The sequence below is a fragment of the Homo sapiens genome, chromosome 16, assembly GCF_000001405.40.
Source record: "Homo sapiens chromosome 16, GRCh38.p14 Primary Assembly".
Classification (NCBI taxonomy): Eukaryota; Metazoa; Chordata; class Mammalia; order Primates; family Hominidae; genus Homo; species Homo sapiens.
Genome location: NC_000016.10, coordinates 29,662,150 through 29,678,961, shown reverse-complemented (window position 1 = coordinate 29,678,961; position 16,812 = coordinate 29,662,150). Strand labels below are relative to the sequence as shown.

Here is a 16,812-nt window from a genome sequence, read left to right as displayed (position 1 = left end):
TGAAGGAGCCCGAGGCCCTGTTCTCACCCAACACCCAGCCCTCCTGGCCCTAACCCAGGGTCCAAGGCTGTGAATGTAAGCATGTGCTCCCTGGTGAGGGCAGGCAGGCATTTTGGATGGTGTGCTGGGAAAATCATGGGCCCTGGACCTGGGTTCAAATCCTAACTCCATCCTTTTTGATCTCAAGTACCTTTTTACCTTTTTCTGTGCCTCAGTTTCCTTAGCTTTAAAATGGCATAACAGGGCCGGGCACAGGAGCTCACGCCTGTAATCCCAGCACTTTGGGAGGCAGAGGCAGGTTGATCACCTGAGGTCAGGAGTTTGAGACCAGCCTGGCCAACATGGCGAAACCCCATCTCTACTAAAAATACAAAAATTAGCCGGGCATGGTGGCGGCCGCCTGTAATCCCAGCTGCTCAGGAGGCTGAGGCATGAGACTCACTTGAACCCCGGAGGTGGAGGTTGCAGTGAGTCGAGATCATGCCACTGCACTCCAGCCTGGGTGACAGAGTGAGACTCTGTCTCAAGATAAATAAATAAATTTATTAATTAATTTAAAAAACGGCATAACAGGCCGGATGCAGTGGTTCACGACTGTAATCCCAGCACTTTGGGAGGCTGAGGCAGGCAGATCACGAGGTCAGGAGATCGAGACCATCCCAGCTAACATGGTGAAACCCCGTCTCTACTAAAAAACCAAAAAATTAGCCGGGTGTGGTGGTGGGCGCCTGTAGTCCCAGCTACTCGGGAGGCTGAGGCAGGAGAATGGTGTGAACCCGGGAGGTGGAGCTTGCAGTGAGCCAAGATCATGCCACTGTACTCCTGGGCGACAGAGCGAGACTCTGTCTCAAAAAACAAAACAAAACAAAAAAACCCGGCATAACAGGCTGGGCACAGCGACTCATGCCTGTAATCCCTGTGCTTTGGGAGGCCAAGGCAGGAGAATCGCTTGAGGCCAGGAGTTTGAGACCAGTGTGGGCATCATAGAGACATACAGAGATCCCATCTCTCCCAAAAAAAGAAAAAAGAAAAAGAAATTAGCTAAGTACAGTGGTGCACACCTGTAGGCTGAGATGGGAGGATCACTTGAGCCCAGGAGTTCAAAGCTGCAGTGAGCCGTGATCGTGCCACTGCAGTCCAGCCTGAGTGACAGAGAGAGACCCTGTCTCTAAAGAAAAAAAAAATGTAATGGCATAACATCTACCTCATGGGTCCAACTGAGAATCAATGAGAAAACTCTGCAAATGAAACAGAGTAGGAACTCACCTAATATCCACTTCCCTTCCCTTCCCTCTTTCCAAGGAACTTTAAGGGCACAGACAGCTTAGAGCCCAGCTTCTGAACCAGAAAGTGGGGAAACCACCAGTCACCGGGACTGGGACTTCAGGCAAGTTCCTGTCCAAGAACTGCCAGGGCCTTTCTTTCTTCCTTTTTTTTTTTTTTTTGATGGAGTTTCGCTCTTGTTGCCGAGGCTGGAGCGCAATGGCGTGATCTCGACTCACTGCAACCTCCGCTTCCCGGGGTCAAGCGATTCTCCTGCCTCAGCCTCCCGAATAGCTGGGATTACAGGCATGCGCCACCACACCCGGCTAATTTTGTATTTTTTTTCAGTAGAGACGGGGTTTCTCTATGTTGGTCAGGCTAGTCTTGAGCTCCCGACCTCAGGTGATCCACCCGCCTCTGCCTCCCAAAGAGCTGGGATTACAGGCATGAGCCACCGCGCCTGGCCCAGGGCCTTCCTTTCTTCATTGGAAACCCTTCTTGCTACAGTTGCTCACAGGGACTGCTAGTCGCTAAATTCACTTGCATCTTCCCAGCCTTCTCCCTTTGCTTTCTCTGCCGCACCTGACTGCCGGGACTGGGGCTGGCGTGACGGATCGAGACACCCAAGGCACAAAATTTAGGGAGGCCTCATCCTCCAGCTCACTTTTTTTTTTTTTTTTTTTTTTGAGACAGGGTCTTGCTCTGTCACCCAGGCTGGAGTGCAGTGGCACAATCTTGGCCCACTACAACCTCCACGCCCCAGGCTCAAGTGATCCTCCTACCTCAGCCTCCTGAGTAGCTGGAACCACAGGCGTCTGCCACCATGCCCAGCTAATTTGTGTATTTTTAGTAGAGAAGGGGTTTCACCGTGTTGGCCAGGCTGGAGTCGGGCTCGCTTATCACCCCAGCACCTTGCTGGCCTTGATTCAGTCCTGGGCCTGTTTCTGAGGCTGCAGTGAGCTATGCAGTGAGCTTTTTTTTTCTTTAGAGACAGGATCTCCAAATGTCATTTTTCTCCTGGTTAATTTTTTTTTTTTTGGATACAGGGTTTTGCTCTGTCACTCAGGCTTAAGTGGAGTGCAGTGGCCCAATCAAAGCTCACTGCAGCCTCAAACTCCTGGCCCCAAGCCTCCTGAGTTGCTGGGACTGTATGTGCATGCCTCCACCCTAGGCTAATTTTTTATTTTTATTTTTTGTACAGATAGGATCTTGCTATGCTGCCCAGGCTGGTCTCAAACTCCTGGCTTCAGGTGATCCTCTTAAAGGCTCTTTTCTATCTTTTGCAGGTGCTTCTTCCTACATCCAACCCTCAGATTTTGGTGTTGCTTCAGTGTGGCAGAGACTGTTTCCCTTTTCCTTCTGGGTACCCTACTAAACTACATTTCCCAGCTTCCTCTGCACTGAGGCAGTCTTGTTCTGGCCAATGGAGTGTGAGCAAAAGATATTTCCAGACCTGACCCTAGAAGTCTTCACAGGATCCTATTCTGCCTCTCCCCTCCCATTAGCTGGTCAAAAGCAGACCACTCCAAGGCCCTAGGAGGATGACAGAGCCACTAGATGGAAGGAGACTGGGTCCCGGAATAATGTTGTGAAAGGTCATGCTCCAGATGTCAGGAATTGACTGTCATAAGAAGGAAAAAACTTCTTTTGAGTTATACCGCTGAGATGTGGGGGCACTGTTTCTTACAGCAGTTAGCCTGCCCTGACTATTACACTCAGATTCTCTCTACAGCTCTCTTCTCAATCTACCCAGTGAATGATATAATTTATGTATCTATCTATCTGTATCACTATTTATTTATTTATTTATTTATTTATTTTTATTTTTATTTTTTGAGAGGGAGTCTCACTCTGTCACCCAGGCTGGAATCCAGTGGTACAATCTCGGCTAACTGCAACCTCCACCTCCCGGGTTCAAGTGATTCTCCTGCCTTAGCCTCCCAAGTAGCTGGGATTACAGGCGCATGCCACCATGCCCAGCTAGTTTTTGTTATTTTTGGTAGAGATGGGGTTTCGCCATGTTGTTCAGGCTGGTCTCGAACTCCTGACCTCAAGTGATACACCCACCCTAGCCTCCCAAAGTGCTGGGATTACAGCCTTGAGCCACTGCATCCAGCCGACTCTTAAATCTATATCTTCTATCCTGAGTTCCCTCTCAAGCTCCAGGCCTCTATTCTGTTTTTGTTTTTGTTTTTGAAACAGGGTCTCACTGTGTCACCCAGGCTAGCGTGCATTGGCATGATCACAGCACAAAGCAGCCTCAACCTATAGGGCTGAAGTGATTCTCCTGCCTCACCCTCCTGAGTAGCTGGGACTACAGGTGAATGCCACCACGCCCATCGAACTTTTTTATTTTTAATAGGGACAGGGTTTCGCCATGTTTAAAGGCTGAAGCAATTCTCCTGCCTCGGCCTCCCAAAGTGCTGGGATTACAGGTGTGAGCCACTGCACTTGGCCAATAAATCTATTTCAAACCCAACCTCTTTCACCTTCCAGACTGCCACTGTATCCAGCGTGGGCTAGAATAATATTATCATTTCACACTTCCTCAGAACATCCTCCTGGATGACCAGGTCAACTCAAAGGACAGAACTGGGCCAGGCACTGTGGCTTGTGCCTGTAATCCCAACAGTTTGGGAGGCTGAGGCAGGAGGATCACTTGAGGCCAGGAGTTTGAGACCAGCCTGGGCAACAGAAATTTGTTTATGAAAATAAACAAATAAGGCCAGGCGCGGTGGCTCATACCTGTAATCCCAGCACTTTGGAAGACCAAGGCAGGCAGATCACCTGAGGTCGCGAGTTCGAGACCAGCCTGGCCAACATGTTGAAACCTCGTCTCTACTAAAAATAGAAAATTAGCCGGGCGTGGTGGCGCGCATGCCTGTAATCCCAGCTACTTGGGAGGCTGAGACAGGAGAATTGCTTGAACCTGGGAGGCAGAGGTTGCAATGAGCCAAGATCGCACCACTGCGCTACAGCCTGGGTGTCAGAAGCAAGACTCTGTCTCAAAAATAAATAAATAAATAAAACTATTCTTTGTGCATGAATTTATTCATCCCTCCATTCAGTAAACATATACTAGGTAGCTACCGCATGCTGGGCCCTGGGCTCTGGAAACACAAAGAGGACATGTGGCCTTGGAGGGGCTCACACACTGGTGATGAGTGTCACCCTCACATCACTACAGCCGGGTTATTCATGCTGTCGCAAGGGGTGCTGCAGGAGTGGAGAAGGAACACAAAGTCTGCGTGGGGTGGGGCAGCGAGGGCAGCTGCACAGAGCCCGTGACAGTTGAGCTGAATCTTAATGGTTGAGGAAGAGTTGGCGGGAAGTCAAGGCATTTATTGTGAGCCAGCGTGGGGAGGGCTGGCTTCAGGCCGAGCTCAGGCAACTCGGGGGAGTCGGCGGTTCTCTCCAAGGCCAACGCAGAGCCTGTACGGCTTGCCTGGGACCCTGGTTCAGCTGGGCTGGTGATGGTGCAGTGGGGCAGGCAGGCTCTGAGCTCCAGACTGGGCTGAGCACACAGGCACCTGCTTGCAGCTCATTTTTGGGAGCAAGTTGATTGTCTCCAAAATAACCTGAGTTTCCATTGTCTAATGGCCCTGCCCCAAACCTCCCAGAACTAGGTGGTCACCACTGGGTGGGCTCCTTAGCCTAAATAGCCTTTTAAGTTTCGAAGATTTTCTCTCTACTTTTGTTTGGGTCTGCTTTTGTTACTACTTTGGGAATTTAGAAACTTTTGATTATATTCTTCTCTCTCTCTCTCTCTTTTTTTTTTTTTTTTGGAAGACAGGGTCTCACTCTATTGCTCAGACTAGAGTGCAGTGGCAGTGGCACAATCATAGCTCACTGCAGCCTCGACCTCTCTGGTTCAAGCTGTCCTCCCACCTCAGCCTCCCAAGTAGCTGGGACTACAGGTGTGCATCACCAGGCCCAGCTAATTTTTTTCTTTTTTTGAGAGATGGGGTCTCGCTATGTTGGCCAGACTGGTCTCGAACTCCTGCGGTTAAGCAATCCTCTCACCTCAGCTTCCCAAAGTGCTGGGATTACAGGTGTGAGCCACTGCGACCTGTGTTGTTTTGTTGATAGTGTTGTGTGATCTGTCTCCTGCCACACGAGTCTGAGCTTGGTGGCTCAGAGATGGGGTCTGTTTCTGTTCTGTTCCCTCTGCCCAAGGGCTGAGGGCTCACAGCTCACAGGAGTCACCTCTACCCGCAGCCCTCAGGTAGCCCGTCCTCCCTTCCCCGGCTTCCCCTTCCCACTTGAACATGGTCAAGGGTCAGAAATGGGGATGCAGGCCAGGTGCGGTGGCTCACGCCTGTAATCCCAGCACTTTTGAGAGGCTGAGGCGGGAGGATCACTTGAGCCCAGCAGTTCAAGATCAGCCTAGGCAACATGGTGAGAACCCATCTGTACAAAAAATACAAAAATTAGCTGGGTGCCGTGGCGTGTGCCTGTGGTCCCAGCTACTTGGGAGGCTGAGGGGGGAGGATCACTTGAGCCCAGGAGGCGGAGGTTGCAATGGGCCGAGATCGCACCATTGCACTCCAGCGTCAGCGACAGAGGAAGACCTTGTCAGAAAGAAAGAAAGAGAGAGAGAGAGAGAGAGAGGGAGGGAGGGAGGGAGGAAGGAAGGAGAGGAAAAGCGGGTGGAAATGTACATTTTCAGAAATGGAATGTCCTTAGAACCATATATTAGGGCCCATTTCCTGTCTGCAAAAGTGAACTCCATTCGCAGATTTCTCAAGACCTTCCCCATCCAAATCTTGCCATCTGGATTTTTCACTTTGGATGACAAGGCTTTATTTGTAAACATGATCTTAATGTGTACTTTTGAGGAAAAAAAAGGAAACATTTTAAAGTATAAGATGAAATATAATACAGTGCGTGTGTGTGTGTGTGTGTGTGTGTGTGTGTGTGTGTGTGAATTCTGTTATTTAAGACTGCTGGCCGGGCGCAGTGGCTCATGCCTGTAATCCCAACACTTTGGGAGGGTGAGGCGGGTGAATCACCTGAGGTCAGGAGTTCAAGACCAGCCTGGCCAACATTGTGAAACCCCGTCTCTACCAAAAATACAAAAATTAGCTGGGCATGGTGGCATGTGCTTGTAGTCCCAGCTACTCGGGAGGCTGAAACAGGATAATCACTTGAACCCGGGAGGTGGAGCCGAGATCGCGCTACTGCACTCTAGCCTGGGGAACAGAGCAAGACTTTGACTCAAAAAAAAAAAAAAAAAGAAAAGAAAAAAAAGGAAAATCTTCAATGTGCTGATAATTAACTTTTGCAAAACAGGAAAAAATGTTATTTTACTGTCTGGAAAAAATAAATATTTTGAACATGTTAAACTACCCTTCTTCACCCCTCTCCTCCAAATAAAGTGTGTGGCATATTTAGGGAGCAACAGGAATTTGATGGGGCTGGATAGCACAGACTGTCTGTAACAAGGGCTGACCGGGCAGGGGTGGTCAGAGGAGAGATAGGGCCAGGTCCCGAGGGGCTTATATGCCACGCTAAGGAAGGAGGGTTCCACCCTGACAGCCTTGGGGATAGAGGAATATCACCTAGACAGAGCAGCGTTTTATTTTATTTTTAAATTTTATTATTATTATATTTTGAGACAGGGTGCCACGCAGGCTGGAGTGCAGTGGTGTGATCATGACTCGCTGCAGTCTGGACCTCTTGGGCTCAAGTGATCTTCCTACCTCATCCTCCTGAGTAGCTGGAACTACAGGTGTGTGCCACGATGCCCAGCTATTTTTCTTTTTTCTTTTTTTTTTTTTTTTGAGACGGAGTCTCATTCTGTCACCCAGGCTGGAGTGCAACGGCGCGATCTTGGCTCACTGCAACCTCCATCTCCCGGGGACCAACAATTCCCCCGCCTCAGCCTCCCGAGTAGCTGGGACTACAGGTGCACACCACCACGCCCGGCTAATTTTTGTACTTTCAGTAGAGATGGGGTTTCACCATGTTGGCCAGGCTGGTCTCGAACTCCTGACCTCAGATGATTGGCCCACCTCAGCCTCTCAAAGTGTTGGGATTACAGGCGTGAGCCACTGTGCCCAGCCCACAGTGACCTTTTAGAAGGGTCCCTGGGACCATCACTAGCAGAGAGCGGAAGGAAATCAAAGGGGAAGTGTCAATAGGATCCCGGTGAGGTGCGATGAGGACTGAAGAGAAGGAAGGGATGCAAGGGTCGGTGGAAGAAGAGCCAGGGACTTGGCACCTGGAGAGCAGGAATGGGGAAAGAGTGGGGCTGCACGGTGGTCCTAAGGCGTTTTGCCTGGGCCACCAGAACGATGCTACTCACCACTCTGGGGACTAGAAGAGAGGAGAAGAGCAGACTTAGGTGTGTTGATTTCACCACTACTTCCAGAATGCAATTCAAACTCTCAGCAGAGCACTATGGCTCACGCAGAGCACTGTGGCTCACGCCTGTAATCCCAGCACTTTGGGAGGCCGAGGCAGGTGGATCACGAGGTCAGGAGATCGAGACCATCCTGGCTAACATGGTGAAACCCTGTCTCTCCTAAAAATACAAAAAAATTAGCCTGGTGTGGTGGCGGGCGCGTGTGGTTCCAGCTACTCAGGAGGCTGAGGCAGGAGAATGGCATGAACCCGTGCCACTGCACTCCAGCCTGGGTGACAGGGTGAGACTCCGTCTCAAAAAACAAAAACAAAAACAAAAACAAACCTCAGAACTCAATTCAAACTCTTGAACTTTTCATAGCATGGCTCCAACCTCCACTTGCAGCCTCATCCCCTACCACTCTCCTCAAACCAGACACCCCCAGGCCACCCCCTTGAACACCTTTTTGACCACTATTTTTTCATATTGTAAAAGTAACAGATATTTATTGTATGAAATTCGGAAAATACAGAAGAGCATAAACAAAATAAAAATCACACATAAACTCACCACTTTGGAGATCAGCATGGAAAACATTTGCGATGGGTCCTTTGTTTCCCTATAAGTGCATATATGGTTGGGAATTTTTATTACAAAACTAAAATCATATGTATTACAGAGGAGTAACTTGCTTTTTTCCCCACTTAACATTATATTGCTGGTATTTTCCAAAGTCATTACATAATTTTCAAAAACATGATTTTTACTGACTATAAGTTCAATAAGCCATTTACAATTATTTTCATAACTAATATATTTAATCTTATACCATATTTTATATTTTCTTTTTTTAAATTTTTTTCCAAGACGGAGTCTTGCTCTGTCGCCCAGACTAGAGTGCAATGACACGATCTCGGCTCACTGCAACCTCTGCCTCCCGGTTTCAAGCAATTCTTCTGCCTCAGACCCCCAAGTAGCTGGGATTACGGGGGCATGCCACCACGCCTGGCTAATTTTTGTATTTTTAGTAGAGACAGGGTTTCACCATGTTGGCCAGGCTGGTTTCAAACTGGCCTCATGATCTGACTGCCTCGGCCTCCCAAAGTGCTGGGATTACAGGTGTGAGCCACCACGCCTGGCCATGTTCTTTCTTTTGAGACAGAGTCTCACACTATTGCCCAGGCTGGAGTGCAGTGGCATGATCACAGCTCACTATAGCCTCAAACTCCTGGGCTCAAGCAATCTTCCCTGCCTTCGCCTCTTGAGTAGCTGGTACCACAGGCGCACACCACTACACCTGGCTAATTTTTCATATTTCAAATTTTTTGTAGAGATAGGGGTCTATGTTGCCCAGGCTGGTCTCCAACTCCTGACCTCAGGTGATCTGCCCGCCTCAGCCTCCTATAGTGCCACCGCATAGCCACTGCACCCAACTATTTTCTTACTGTTCCTTGCTCTATCTCCTTTTTTTTTTTTGAGATGGAGTTTTTTACTTGTCGCCCAGGCTGGAGTGCAATGGCGTGATCTCGGCTCACTGCAACCTCCACCTCCTGGGTTCAAGGGATTCTCCTGCCTCAGCCTCCCAAGTAGCTGGGATTACAGGTGCCCGCCACCACGCCCAGCTAATTTTTTGTATTTTGAAACAGGGTTTCACCATGTTGGTCAGGCTGGTCTTGAACTCCTGACCTCAGGTGATCCACCTGCCTCGGCCTCCCAAAGTGCTGGGATTACAGACGTTGAGCCACCACGTCTGGCCTGCTCTATCTCCTTTTTTTGTTTTCCTTTTTAGTCTTAAAATATCCACTGCTTCTTTTGCTTTGCTTTTTCCTCCAGAAAATTAAAAGACATCTATTGTCGGGCACGGTGGCTCACGCATGTAATCCCAGCACTTTGGGAGGCCGAGGCATACGGATCAGCAGAGGTCGGGAGTTCAAGACCAGCTTGACCAACATGGTGAAACCCCATCTCTACTAAAAATACAAAATTATCCGGGTTTGGTGGTGCATGCCTGTAATCCCAGCTACCTGGGAGGCTGAGGCAGGAGAATTGTTTGAACCCAGGAGGCGGAGGTTCTGGTGAGCCAAGATCACGCCATTGCACTCCAGCCTGGGTAACAAGAGTGAAAACTCCATCTCAAAAAAAAAAAAAAGACATCTATTTCACGTTTGTTCAAAAAAGACTCTATATTGAACTGCTCCACTTTAAAAAATATATATATAAATGTTTACTTTTTGTAGACACGGGGTCTCACTATGTTGCCCAGGCTGGTCTCAAACTCCTGGCTTCAAGCAGTCCTCCTGCCTCAGCTTCTCAAGTAGCTGGTACTACAGGCATGCACCACCACGCCTGGCTAATTTTTTGTGTTTTTGTAGAGACAGGGTCTTTCTATGTTACCCAGGCTGGTCTTGAACTCCTAGACTCAAGCAATCCTCCCTGCTCTGCCTCCCAAAGTGCTGGGATTACAGGCATGAGCCACTGCGCTGGATCTGCTCCACGTTTTTTTTTTTTAATTATGTATTTCCACCTGCTATCCCCTCTGCTGGGAATGCCTTTTCCTTTTCCCAGCTTTGCAAAATCCTTCCCAGCCTTCAAATATCTGAGGCAAGCCTGGGCACAGTGGCTCACACCTATAATCCCAGTATTTGGGGAAGCTTAGGTGGGAGGACCACTTGAGCCCAGGAGTTTGAGACCAGCCTGGGCAACACAGCAAGACCCTGTCTGTACAAATTAAAAATTAAAAAAAAAAATTAGCTGGGCATGTTGGTGCACACCTGTGATCGCAGCTACTTGGGAGGCCCAGGAGGTTGAGGCTGTGGTGAGCTGTGATTGCACCACTGCCCTCTAGTCTGGGTGACAGAATGAGACCTCATCTCAAAAGAAAGAATCTCTGAGGCGTCATCTCCATTCATTCATTCATTCATTCATTCATTCATTCAAATGCATATTCATGGAGGATCTGCAACATGCCAGGCACAGCAGCCACCAGGAATGAAGCAGTGGCTGGGTGCAGTGGCTCATGCCTATAGTCCCAGCATTTTGGGAGGCTGAGGCAGGTGGATCTCTTGTGCCCGGGAGTTTGAGACCAGCCGGGACAACATGGTGAAACCCCATCTCTACAAAAAATACAAAAATTAGCCAGGTGTGGTGGTTCTCATATGTAGAAAACAATAAAAATAATTTTTAAAGAAAGGAATCAAGCAGTGGATATGACAAAGGCCACGACACACTCTCAGGTGAAGCCTTCCAACCTTTCGCCAGGGCAATGCGAGCCCTTCTGCTCAGCCACTGGAATCTCTTCCTCAAAGTCTCCCTTGCCACAGTACACATGCATGGGAGAACATGCATGCACACACACATGCGCGCACACACACACATGCGCACACACATGTGCACACATACACACACAGGCACATGCACGCACGCACATGCACGCACGCACATGCACACGTACACACATATGTGCACACACGCATGGCTTGGTAGGCTTCACCTGAGAGTTATGAATGCACCATTTTCCTTGGTGCATTCATAACACTGTTTGTGCCTCTCTTTTATTTATTTTATTTATTTTTATTTTTTGAGACAGTCTCACTTTGTCACCCAGCCTGGAGTACAGTGGCATGATCCCGGCTCACTGCAACCTCTGACTCCAGGGTTCAAGCAATTCTCTGGCCTCAGCCTCCTAAGTAGCTGGGATTACAGGAGCACACCACCATGCCTGGCTAACTTTTGTATTTTTAGTAGAAACGGGGTTTCATCATATTGGCCAGGCTGGTCTCAAACTCCTGACCTCATGATCTGCCCACCTTGGCCTCCCAAAGTGCTGAGATTACAGGCGTGAGCCACCGCACCCGGCCTGTGCCTCTCTTTTAACACTTATATTTTGATATTTTCTGGATTGTGAAAGCCCTGTTGGGTGCCTTCCTTACCCGTACTACCTCTTTTTTTCAGGATTCGCCCAGGACCTGACTAAAACCAGTCCTGGCTTAGAAAACAACCATATCTGTCAAAGGAAAGGGAGGTGGAGCTGAGGACAGCGACGTTCGTTCGGTGACAGTATTTTCTAAACCTGATATGGGGGCTCTTATTTTAACAACTCTAAGACAACAGTGTCTCTAAGGGATTTTGGACATGGCCTCTGTCATTCTGCAGCTGCAGTGAGTCCAAATAGCAATCAGAAAAGGCCACCAGATGCAGCCCAGTGGGTGCCCAGCCTGGCTGGTAGAAGCTGGTTCCATCCGAGCTCAGCTCTTCCCACCCACTAAGCAAGCCCCTTCCCGCTCCCTCCCTCCGTCTCCTCTCCCACTGCACGAGCCCATCCCCCACCTGACCCTTTCCCCCATCTCCTGCCCAGGCCACAGAGCAGGGCTGTCACACTCACATGCCTCCCCTGTCTTTTTTTGCAGGTCAACCTGTCTGCTCTCAGCCACCGCAAGCTCTAACTCAACAACTTCCTCTTTGAAAATTTCCTCTTTGTCCTCGGGAAATACCAACTGCCCTGGCCCATGTGTGCTCCTGGGCTGTAGCCTGGGCTGGTCTCAAAGGCAGCACCATTGAGTTCTCCCCTCTCCACCCAGGCCCCACAGGGGAAGTCCCTGGCTCCAGGCCCCTCCTTCACTCACTCTCACTGGTTCCTCTTGGAGGATGGAAGGGGCTCAGCCCCTGGGATGGAAGAGGAGACACAGACAAACTAAACCTGGAAACGTGCAGTGGGGAAGCGCCAGCCAGACCAGTCCCCGAGACCAGGGCAAACCCCTCTCCCCCTGCCTCTGTTCGCAGGAGAGCGCGCGCGCGCGCGCGTGTGTGTGTGTGTGTGTGTGTGTGTGTGAGAGAGAGAGAGAGAGAGAGAGCGCACATGCATGTGTACTGCAGAAATGGAGACTTCAAGGAAGGGATTACCATGGCTGAGCTGAAGAACTCATATTTGGGTCACACATACGATCTTTCCATGAAGCCTGGCTTTCTTTTTCTTTTCTTTTTTGAGACAGGGGCTCACTCTGTTGCCCAGGCTGAAGTGCAGTGGTGCAATCACAGCTCACTTCAGACTCGAACTCCTGGGCTCAAGCGATCCTCCTGCCTCAACTTTCCAAAGTGCTGGGATTAAAGGCACCAGCCACTGTGCTCACCCTGGCATTCTGTATGGGGCTACAGACAGAGTTAGATTTTCTGCTATGTCCACCCCATCAGAGCAAAGATGACACGCACGTTCTCAGCAGTCCCTGTGTCCCCCATGCCCAGGTTGACCCTCTTCAGTCTCTGCACCACTTCCCACCCCCACACCGTCTGTACCCACAACTACCCCTCCCAAGCATCGCCAAATCCTCAGCTCTTGCACACAAACCACACCCACGAGTGGACACACGCAGGCACTGGGGTTTCTGAGAACTACACCCAGCCAGAAACTCGGAGGAGAAACCGTGAGGCCTCTGGCTGCCTCTGTCCATGGCTGGGGAGAGTGTGGTGGTGTGGGCCAGGGCCAGCCTACAGTCCATGTGCCCTGGGAAAGATCACAGGCCCGCCTGAGAGCATGGGCTGGTGGCCCCACCCAGCCATGCTCCAGGCTGGCCTGGGGGGCCCAGAGCTAAAGGTGGTTGCGGGCTGCCCAGGTTCCACAGCCCTTGCAGCTACAGGGCAAGGGTGCTTTACAAAGTTAATCCTAGGAGGGAGTTTGCCGGGTTCTCTTGTCCTTCTTCCCAGACTCTGGTCAACCCAGGGTGGGTTCTGGGGGAAAAGGAGAATTGTCAAAGAAATCACAGGGCAGATAAGTTTGGCCGATGGAGACTCAGCAGCCGTTTCCAGGAACAAGAAAGAGGGGGAAATGGTGATGGAGATAAATAGGGGTGGATGAGGAGGGTTTATTCATTCAGTCCACAGACGTTGAGAGGTGCCAGCCCTGCCCTGCCCAGGCGCTAGTTGTGGGTGCTGGGTGAGGATGGCAGCAGGAAATCCAGGGCTGAGAAGCCTCATGAGGATTCAGAGTGAAGAGGTGGGTGAGGAGGCAAGGCGCGGAGGCTCATGTCTGTAATCTCAGCACTTTGGGAGGCTGAGGCAGGTAGATCACCTGAGGTCAGGAGTTTGAGACCAGCCTAGCCAACATGGTGAAACCCCATCTCTACCAAAAATACAAAAAAGCAGCTGGGCATGGTGGTGGGTGCCTGTAATCTCAGTTACTCGGGAAGCTGAGGCAGGAGAATCGCCTGAACTTAGGAGGCAGAGGTTGCAGTGAACTGAGATCGTGCATTGCACTCCAGCCTGGGCGACAAAGCGAAACTCTGTCTCAAAAGAAAAAAAAAAAGGAGATTCGGGTGAGGATCAGGGTGCCGGGTGGAAACATGGGAGCGAGGGGGCAGTGGGATGGTGAGAGGGAAGGTGCTGGAGGCTGGCTGAGATTCCGGCCTCCAGCCTCACTATTCACCGACACTTAAGGGGCAGCCCCGTCTCCCCCTTCGGGCTCATCAGGAGCTGGGGCGTCCACAGCCCCATCCTCACTGGCCACCAGTGGCTCCTCCTCCCCTTTGAGGCTGGGGCCTGACCCAGACTTCAGCTCCTCCATCGCCAGGGAGCCCTGGCGAGACTTCCGTCTGCCAAAGAAAGTGGTGAGCGTGGGCCGACGGCTAGACCCCTCCCCATCGGGGAACCCAGAGCCCTTGTCGCCCCCGGACCCTCCCACGGTCACTGTCACGGCCCCCTCCTCAGGGACCTGGGCTGGCCCAGCCCAGGCGTCCACCACCCCGTTACGCTTGCCGCCTCTGCTCAGCACGAGGGCCCCAGTCCGCCGCTTCTGCCGCCGGCGCCACAGCAGGAGCAGAGCCACGAGGACTATGACCGCCAGCAGGGCCACAAGCACAGCCACTGGCAGCATGCCTCGTGAGTTCTCATCTGGGTTCCGGAAGGGCACAGTGCTTGCGTTGGTGGAGGTCGTTGGAGACATCATTGTAGATAGTTTTACGCTAGAGACCTGGGGTCCACTGGCCCCGCTGGAGGGCTCCAGAGAGCCAGTTGTCATGGTAACAGGGGGTCCAGTGGTCCCAGTGGAGGTCTCCAGAGAGTCAGTTGCCATGGTAACAGGGGGTCCAGAGGTGCCTTTGGAAGTCTCCAGAGAGACAGTTGCCATGGTAAGAGGGGGTCCAGAGGTGCCTCTGGAGGTCTCCAGAGAGCTAGCTGCCGTGGTAACAGGGGCTCCACTGGTCCTACTGGAGGTTTCTGGAGAGTTCGTTGTTATGGTTCCACCTGTCACGGTGTGGGATCCTAGAGAGTTTGCTGTTATGGGAACAGCAGGATGACTGGTTGCATGAGGGGTTTCCTGGGGCACTGATGACATCTTGATGGAAACTTCCTGGTAGGTTGTTGGCTCAGGTAAAGGGGAACCAGTGCTGGCACCAATGGAAGTCCAAAGAGGGGATCCCTCATTGATGGAAGTTGAGGGAGGTAGGGCTGAGGTCTGGTCCCCAGTGCTGTCGGCCTTAGGGTCACTTGTTATTGAAGTGGTGTACATCTTTGAGCTCAGGGGCTCGCTAGTAGAGACCAAAGGCTCTCCGGAGGTGGGTGTCTGCACTGCTGTTGTGCTCCCCAGAGCGTCTGGGCTTACCACCAGCACCCCAAGGAGAAGGAGAAGCGTGGCCATTTCCAGGCAAACAGGCAGGAGCAAGAGCTGGGACCTGCAGGTGGGCAGCCGGAGAAGCAGAACACGCGGGAGTTGCCGGAGGACCTGGCCGGGCCTCCCCTCTGCCCACTTCCCTGCCAACGGCCAGGCCCAACCTGCGGTTTAACGGTTTTTTCCATGCTGGCTTTTACTGTTATCAGAAATGACAGAGGAACAGATGCTGGCAGCTCCCCCATCAGCCCCATCCTGAGGCTCCCTCCAGCCTCAGCAGCTTAGATTCCAGCAGTGACCAGCCCCTCCTGGCCTTCCCTGACCCTGTGCAGCCCAATGGCTCCCAATCTCTTCCCATCATAACCTGTCAGAGTCTTTTCAAGCCACAGGCACATTCCCAGGCCCACTGAGGCCCCTACCCCACCAAGTCTCACCCTCTTACCGGCTCGGCTGATAAGGACGCAGCACTGGGGCCAGGTCACTCCACCACCTCCCGAGGCTGGGGCAAGACTGGGAAGGACAGGGCCCCAAGGGGAAAGGAAGTGGGCCCTGGCTCCACCCACCCCACCCACCCCTCCATCCTGCCCCACCCGCCTGCTCCCACAGCTGCTGGGCGAAGACAGCACCATCACCTGCTCCTTCAGGGGCCAGCGGGGTGCCTGGGGGTCTGGGGCTCACCTGAGGGAGGCAGGGAAGCGTGGGATCTGGAATCAGGATTCCTGGCTCTTGGCTGAGGAATGGGATGGAAGTGGTGATGCTAGGGAGGGCTGGGCTCAGAGGTGGGTGGTGGGAATGTGAGCCTGAGAACTCAAGGGTGCAGAGGAGGAGGTGGGAGGGGAGGGTGGTTTCCTTTGCATTTGTGGTCCCCAAGCTGTTAGGCCAGGAGCTGAGTGGCGCCATTTCCTGCCCTCAGAGCTCCCAGGAAGTAGCAGGGCAAGAGGAAGCCCCCGAGTCTGGCTGGGGGCCGTGAAAACCTTTGCAGGCTGGTGAGCTCTTGACTCTGTCCGGGGAGCTGGGGGTCACCACAGTGGCCCCCAGTCACAGAGACGTGGCTAAACCAAGGTGGTTCCTACACACTGCATATGCTAGGATCTTATTTCTGCAAACTAGTAAAGATGTGGGAATCTTTTTTTTTTTTTTTAAGGCGGAGTTTAGTGCAATGGCATGATCTTGGCTCGGCTCAGCACAATGTCTGCCTCCTAGGTTCAAGCAATTCTCCTGCCTCGGCCTCCTGAGTAGCTGGGATTACAGGCTTGCACCACTGTGCCCGGCTAATTTTGTATTTTTCGTAGAGACGAGGTTTCTCCATGTTGGTCAGGCTGGTCTCGAACTCCTGACCTCAGGTGGTCCATCCGCCTCAGCCTCCCCAAGCGCTAGGATTACAGGTGTGAGCCACCGCGCCTGGCCAGATATGGGAATCTATATGGAAAACCGTCTGGAAAGATATCTACTAAGGGATTCACCTAATTGTCTTTGGATAGGTGAGAGTAGGAGGTGGGGGTATTTTCTTCTTTGAATGGTTCCCATTTCCTGACTTTCCTCTAATTAGCAAGCTTTGACTCTCGGTTTGTGTATGTTTTTGGTTTTTGTTCTTGAAAAACGAAAATCA

The 16,812-nt window shown here is 51.5% G+C and overlaps 1 protein-coding gene across 2 annotated transcripts, besides 7 other annotated features; it reads right to left on the bottom strand.

Moving 5' to 3' along the window:
- Positions 1,277 to 1,776: an enhancer, noted in NCBI's record as "H3K4me1 hESC enhancer chr16:29688507-29689006 (GRCh37/hg19 assembly coordinates)". NCBI's record gives its function as "activates a minimal SCP1, AML or CMV promoter by ChIP-STARR-seq in primed H9 embryonic stem cells {active_cell/tissue: H9 hESC(primed)}" and the evidence as "EXISTENCE:reporter gene assay evidence [ECO:0000049][PMID:30033119]".
- Positions 1,777 to 2,278: an enhancer, noted in NCBI's record as "H3K4me1 hESC enhancer chr16:29688005-29688506 (GRCh37/hg19 assembly coordinates)". NCBI's record gives its function as "activates a minimal SCP1, AML or CMV promoter by ChIP-STARR-seq in primed H9 embryonic stem cells {active_cell/tissue: H9 hESC(primed)}" and the evidence as "EXISTENCE:reporter gene assay evidence [ECO:0000049][PMID:30033119]".
- Positions 2,697 to 2,966: an enhancer, noted in NCBI's record as "active region_10665". NCBI's record gives its function as "activates an Ori minimal core promoter by ATAC-STARR-seq in GM12878 lymphoblastoid cells {active_cell/tissue: GM12878}" and the evidence as "EXISTENCE:reporter gene assay evidence [ECO:0000049][PMID:35858748]".
- Positions 4,420 to 4,714: a silencer, noted in NCBI's record as "tiled region #12104; HepG2 Repressive DNase unmatched - State 4:PromP". NCBI's record gives its function as "represses a minimal TATA promoter and a strong SV40 promoter by Sharpr-MPRA in HepG2 cells {active_cell/tissue: HepG2}" and the evidence as "EXISTENCE:reporter gene assay evidence [ECO:0000049][PMID:27701403]".
- SPN (sialophorin) lies at positions 8,086 to 15,999 on the bottom strand. Of its 2 annotated transcripts, none has more exons than NM_001030288.4 (2): positions 15,882 to 15,999; positions 8,086 to 15,267 (listed from the first exon to the last, which is right to left on the bottom strand). In NM_001030288.4, exon 2 carries the CDS (start codon positions 15,231 to 15,233, stop codon positions 14,031 to 14,033), a length of 1,203 nt encoding a protein of 400 aa, NP_001025459.1. In that variant the 5' UTR covers positions 15,234 to 15,267; positions 15,882 to 15,999; the 3' UTR covers positions 8,086 to 14,030. The 2 variants fall into 2 exon arrangements, with proteins under 2 accessions (NP_001025459.1, NP_003114.1); NM_003123.6 differs by lacking the exon at positions 15,882 to 15,999 and adding an exon at positions 15,646 to 15,715.
- Positions 14,611 to 14,730: a silencer, noted in NCBI's record as "silent region_7330". NCBI's record gives its function as "represses an Ori minimal core promoter by ATAC-STARR-seq in GM12878 lymphoblastoid cells {active_cell/tissue: GM12878}" and the evidence as "EXISTENCE:reporter gene assay evidence [ECO:0000049][PMID:35858748]".
- Positions 15,991 to 16,050: a silencer, noted in NCBI's record as "silent region_7329". NCBI's record gives its function as "represses an Ori minimal core promoter by ATAC-STARR-seq in GM12878 lymphoblastoid cells {active_cell/tissue: GM12878}" and the evidence as "EXISTENCE:reporter gene assay evidence [ECO:0000049][PMID:35858748]".
- Positions 16,231 to 16,310: an enhancer, noted in NCBI's record as "active region_10664". NCBI's record gives its function as "activates an Ori minimal core promoter by ATAC-STARR-seq in GM12878 lymphoblastoid cells {active_cell/tissue: GM12878}" and the evidence as "EXISTENCE:reporter gene assay evidence [ECO:0000049][PMID:35858748]".

Bases quoted from the DNA above. Each gene is read 5' to 3' on its own strand.
- SPN (NM_001030288.4), bottom strand. From the start codon at position 15,233: ATGGCCACGCTTCTCCTTCTCCTTGGGGTGCTGGTGGTAAGCCCAGAC.